Source organism: Homo sapiens, chromosome 3, assembly GCF_000001405.40.
Source record: "Homo sapiens chromosome 3, GRCh38.p14 Primary Assembly".
Lineage (NCBI taxonomy): Eukaryota > Metazoa > Chordata > Mammalia > Primates > Hominidae > Homo > Homo sapiens.
The window spans coordinates 86,621,230-86,627,260 of NC_000003.12; the positions used below are offsets into that span (position 1 = coordinate 86,621,230).

At 40.8% G+C, this 6,031-nt stretch overlaps 1 annotated feature.

The window, feature by feature from the left end:
* Nucleotides 2,916-3,417: an enhancer, noted in NCBI's record as "NANOG hESC enhancer chr3:86673295-86673796 (GRCh37/hg19 assembly coordinates)". NCBI's record gives its function as "activates a minimal SCP1, AML or CMV promoter by ChIP-STARR-seq in naive H9 embryonic stem cells {active_cell/tissue: H9 hESC(naive)}" and the evidence as "EXISTENCE:reporter gene assay evidence [ECO:0000049][PMID:30033119]".

The window sequence follows — 6,031 nt, forward strand, 5'->3', positions numbered from 1 at the left end:
CTGATGTCATTGAAAGTGCGTCTCCTTCTCCAGGCACAAGCACTCAATTAGCTGAACTGATAACTCCTGGAACAACACTTAAATTAAGCAAGTGAAAGGTAGCTAACATTTACACTGACTCCAAGTATGCTCTCTTAGTTCTCCACACTCATGCTGCCATTTGAACGGAAAGACATTTTCTTATCATTAATGGATCTCCTATAAAATATCACCAGGAAATTAACAGGTTATTATCCTCAGTTTTCCTTCCACAAGAAATAGCAGTAATGCATTGTAGGGGACATCAAAATGGAACAGATGAAGCAGCAGAAGGAAATAGGTTAGCTGATCAGTCAGCTAAGGAAGGAAGCTAAGCAAGGAAGCTAAGCAAGGAAGTCTCAAGGCATCAACACACTTCAATCCCCTTTAATCCGGGAAGGCTCTGTCAAAGAAATTAACCCTCAGCACTCCCCTGTAAAAACAAAATGGACCACTTCTTGAGGGTGTGCTTCCAGCCTTCAGGATGGCTACAGTCAGCGACTGGCAAACACCATTTGTCAGTCTCCGGCCAATGGAAAATCCTTAAAATCCTTCACCAGGCTTTTCACTTGGGAAAGCATAAAACTTACCAATGTGCCCAGAGATTGTTTACAGAAGAAAACTTACTAAAAACAGCCAAACAGGTTGTAAATGTCTGTGAGGTCTGTCTTAAAAAATAATCCTCTAAACAGATGGCTCTTTTCTCCTCAAACACAAAGGATAGAAAACTATCCAGTGGAGGAATGGCAGGTAGACTTCACCCACATGCCACATGCAAAGGGCATGCAATACCTCCTGGTATGGGTAGATACTTTCACCAACTGGGTAGAAAGATGTCCATGCTGTAGAGAAAAGGCCTCTGATATAATAAAAGTATTAGTTAATTAAATAACTTCCCACTTTGGCCTACCTAAGTACCTTCAAAGTGACAGTGGCCCCTCATTTAAGGCAGATGTCACACAGCGGGTCTCAAAAAGCACTAGGCATACAGTGCTTAGGCATACAGTCATCTCCATTGCCCTTGGAGTCCTCAGGAAAGGTAAAGAAAACAAATGATATTATCAAAAGACTCCTCAGAAAACTATCCCAGGAAACTCACCTTCCTTGGGTCACTCTTGTTTCCATGGCCTTACTATGGGTAAGAAATACACCTTTCAAAATGCTGTATAGATGGCCTTCCTTACCGATGGTTTCTTATTAGATCAGGAAGCCCCTAAGTTGGTTAAGCATATTACCTCTCTGGTTCACTTGCAACAGGAATTAACACAACAATTAGCAAAAGCCCAAACCCAAGAAATAGAACCACCGTTATTTAACCCAGGGTACTTGGTAATAGTATAAACACTCCTCTTTCTCTCTTCTTCCCTAAGCCTAAGCTGGGGAGTGCCCTACACCGTTCTTCTTTCAACCCCCTTGGCAATAAAAGTGTACAGGAATCAACTCTTGGATACATTGCACTCAAGTCAAAGCCTGGAGAGCTAAGGGAGCACCTCTGACAGCCCAGAGGAATGTCCTAAATATCAATGTGAAGAAATAGAAGATCTTAAGCTGAAAATCATAAAAGATAAGTAACTGAGTGAGGGTTACTCAGCTTACTGAGTCCCACCTTTACCTCACCAAGTACTTTTTGTCATTTAGACTTTTCCAATCAAAACTCATCAGCAAATATTAGAACTTTGTTTTAACATATATTTGCAAGGAAATTTTTAATCATTCATGGGATTGCATTTGTAACTTCGTAGACCGTCAAAGGAAAATTCCATATCTTAGCAAGTAAAATTTTAAATAGAAATTATCTATGACACCACCCTTGCAGGAATTGATATACTCACTCTATGATTTGCAGTAGAACTATACACTATGACACCTGCAATGTGGAATTCTGGTTGTAAAATTCTAATTGCTGTAATAGTCTGCTTAATTATCATCTTTATAACAGGATTGACAATTGCAGGAAAGATTTAGCCAAGGTTGTTTTGCTTAATTACTATCCATATAGCAGGGGTAATAGTTACAGAAAAGATGTAAGCATGAAAGATTTATTGTCACTGAGCTTACTAGGACTTTTTATTAAGGTTGGTAATATGTTGCACTCTAGCTATGAAAAGAAGTTTGTAAAGAAAAGAGATTTTATATAAGGAAGGATCTTGTATGGTAAATTCTTGTTCTAAAAGGAAATGACTGAGTGTTTAAAGGAAGAATGTTTAGAAGTCAGAAAGTTTAAGAATGTTGTAAGATGGTCTGTGAAAGTCATGAAAGGATGAATAATTGAAGAAAAGAAATTGCCAAGATTAACACTGAAGTTACTTTAGCCACCCAATAAAATATTTCTTCCAATCAAATTACAAATTATAAAAAGTGGCCTAGACCAAAAATTATCTTCTAATGGTGAATCTGGGAGGGAAACACATGTATTTTCTCAAAGAAAAATATTACTTATATATTAACACTTCTGGTAAAATACAGTAAAATCTGGTGGAAGCAAGCTAGTGTTAAAATCCACTAAAATAGTTAACCGGTATCAAACTTCACTGTCATAGTTATGGACTGTAGTACCTGCACTAATAATAGTAATCTTAATACTCATGTTCAAGCCCTATATTCTAAATCTTCTTGTAAAATTTATCTCTTTTTGCCTAGAAGCAATCAAACTCTAAATGATGCTATAAACAGAACCACGCATGAACACGCCATTCTTCTGAGGACCCTTAGCTCAACCCCAGGAGGAGCCCTAGCTGCTGTTCCCCCAAACAATGCCCCTTTTTAACAGGAAGTAGCCTGAAATAGTCGTTGTCCAACATGCCCCAAAACAGAGATGCTTCTCCTGAGGAGGGAAATGATACAGGTTTTAATAAGAAATTATTTAGGCAGTTAGTGAGGATAAAAGAGTTCTTGGTGGAATTTTCCTTTAATAAAAAGCAGCCCCCAAACCATTTCTTTTCTAACAAAAAGTAGCCTGAAACATCAAGCTGCAAGCATAGATAAGCAAGCTAAAACCTTGCATAGGTGAGTTCTGGCAGCTATGCCAGAAGCCAGGTATATCCAACATGGCGATTGCTTCTTCCCTTTTCCTTGTCACAATGTGTGCAGGTGTCATGGCAATAGCCAAGTAAAAGCCCTATTTGCATAATAAAAGATTAAGGTGGATGGCCAGCCTCTTAGCAGGCTATGTAAATGGCACACCTGATCAAACCAATCCTCTACACCCTATGTAAATCAAACACCGCCTCCTCAAGCCCCTCTATAAAATCAACCAAATCTCACCCCAAACTTGAAACCCACTTGGGCATCCCCTTCCTCTGCACAAGGAAGGTCTCTCTTCTTTTGCCTATTAAACTTTCTGCTCCTGAACCCACTTCGTGTGTGTGTGTGTGTTTGCATCTTTGTTCTCCTTAGAGCAAGACAACAAACCCTAGGTATATCCCCAGGCATCGATGCCGCTTTGACAGAACATCAGCATTTTCCATTTGCCCCTAGCTGCCTCATTCTGAGGCTAACATCTGCACAATTGAGGCCTAGATGTAGGGTCTCCCTTCACCTTCCCAACCTCCAGCTACCTTGAGAACAGCACTGCTGAGAATAGTGGGACCCTAATTTCTCCTGCCTTGGCTCCTGGGGTGTGTGCAGCCTGGATGTCTGAGACACGTCTCAGTTAATTTAGAAAGTTTATTTTGCCAACGTTGAGGTTGCAGGCTGATGACACAGCTCAGAAGGTCCTGACAACATGTGCCTGAGGTGGTCAGAATACAGTCTGGTTTTATACTTTCAGGGATACATGAGACATCAATCAATATATGTAAGATGAACATTGGTTTGGCCCAAAAAAGGTGGGACAATTCGAAGCAAAGGCAGGACAACTTGAAGAGGGGAACGGGCTTCCAGGCATAGGTAGATAAGAGACAAATAGTTGCATTCTTTTGAATTTCTGATGAGCCTCTCCAAAGGAGGCAATCAGATTTGCCCTTTATCACAGTGAGCAGAGGGATGACTGAATAGAATGGGAAGCAGGTTTGCCCTAAGCAGTTCCCAACTTGACTTTCCGCTTTAGCTTAGTGATGTGGGGCCTTCTTGTAAAATTTCTCTCTTTTTGCCTAGAAGCAATCAAACTCTGAATGATGCTGCAAACAGAACCACGCATGAACATGCCATTCTTCTGAGGATGCTTAGCTTAACCACAGGAGGAGTCCTAGCTGCTGTTCCCCCAAACAATGCCCCTTTTTATTTATTTATTTTCCTTTTACAGGTGTAAGTGACACATCGAGAGAATCAAGCTGAAAACACTTGGGCCGGCTGCCCTGCCCATCTGCTAAACACTCAGCTCCTAAAGTGGGAATGTCTGTCCAGAAAAAGTGAATAATTATCCCTGCCCCAGCACCAGGGCAGTAGCTCAGAGATTTGGGGGGAAAGCAAACTGTAGAAGAGAGCCCTAATCCTGCCTCCAGAGGAAATGACATAATTTAGCACAGTTCATGGAGAAAATCAAGCCTAGGGGTACTCTCAAAAATAGTGAAAGTTGTGCTGAAAGGGAATTGGGAGATTAACTCATTGCAGATGTAAGTCTGCTAGGTGTTTTTTGTTTTTTGTTTTTTTTTTGAGACGGAGTAATTGCCCAGGCTGGAGAGCAATGGCACGATCTCGGCTCACCACATCCTCTGCCTCCCGGGTTCAAGCGATTCTCCTGCCTCAGCCTCCTGAGTAGCTGGGATTACAGGTTCCCGATACCACACCCAGCTAATTTTTGTATTTTTTAGTAGAGACGGGGGCTCACCATGTTGGCCAGGCTGGTCTCCAACTCCTGACCTTGGGTGATCCACCTGCCTCAGCCTCCCAAAGTGCTGAAATTACAAGTGCGAGCCACCACGCCAGGTCAGGTTTGCTAGTTTTTAAAGAGGAACAGGGAAAGAGGTTGGAAATAACTTCTTCTGGTCATAACACATCTTAAACACTGTACTCAGGAACTATCTCCTCAAAGAAGCTGGATGAGTCACTAAATTATTTTATGTCTAAAGGCATTGTTAAAAACAATTGATTAATCAGCCAGCAATCAATGGAGTTTACACTTGAGTGTGGTTAAGAAAGAGACAGCCAGAGAAAGAGAATCCCACCATACCACCATCATCCCAGGTGACTGTGCACAAACCCAAGACTGTGGCCCCTGGTGAGCAGCATCAGAGGCTTCACACTGCAGAGTAACGTTGGGGTTGGGGTGAGTGTGTATGGCAGTAGGAGGAGTCGTTAGCAAAATAATCCAGGCAGTCACTAAAGTAGACAAATAAACAACAATAACAAACTCTGGATGTGGGGGAAGGTGGAAACCAATACACAGGCTTGCTGCAATATACAGTTAATTCTTATTACTAAAGGCACTTATGTTCTATAAATTACCACAAACACTGAATTAATAAATCCTAAACTATTTGCTCTTGGGGAAAACATAGACATAGGTTCCAGCAAGCCAAATTTTTGTCAACGGATCAATGCAACCTTGTTATTTGTATGTTTCTGTTTGAAGAAACTTTATGTAGTATATAATCCTGATTCATTAACATTAAACTCAAAGCCAACAGCACTATTACTCACATCTGAACAAAGCTTATCTAACACACGTCTTTTCTCCATAGAGCCCACTTGGGACAAAAGACAGCACTTTAGCACTATGCTTGGGGATCATTTTAAACAGTGAAATAGCACAAAAAAAGTGGCTCTGACGGACTGTGAAAAGACACTTGTTTGTAATATGAGATTGCCATGTTTGACCTCAATTGAGATCATGTGCATTGGGTGACTAAAATATGTCACTTGCCTTCTCCTATCCATGAAAGACCACAAAAGCACAGTGAATATTGATTTGGTGGGGGAGAGCAGGGGGTGTCAAATTTTAGCAAGTAGGTAAATTCACAAATAAGGAATTTGTGAATAATGAAAACCAGCTATATGATCTAAATGGCCCAATTTCCAACAAAAAATTACTAGACATGCAAAGAAACAGGAAAATATGACCCATATAGATTTT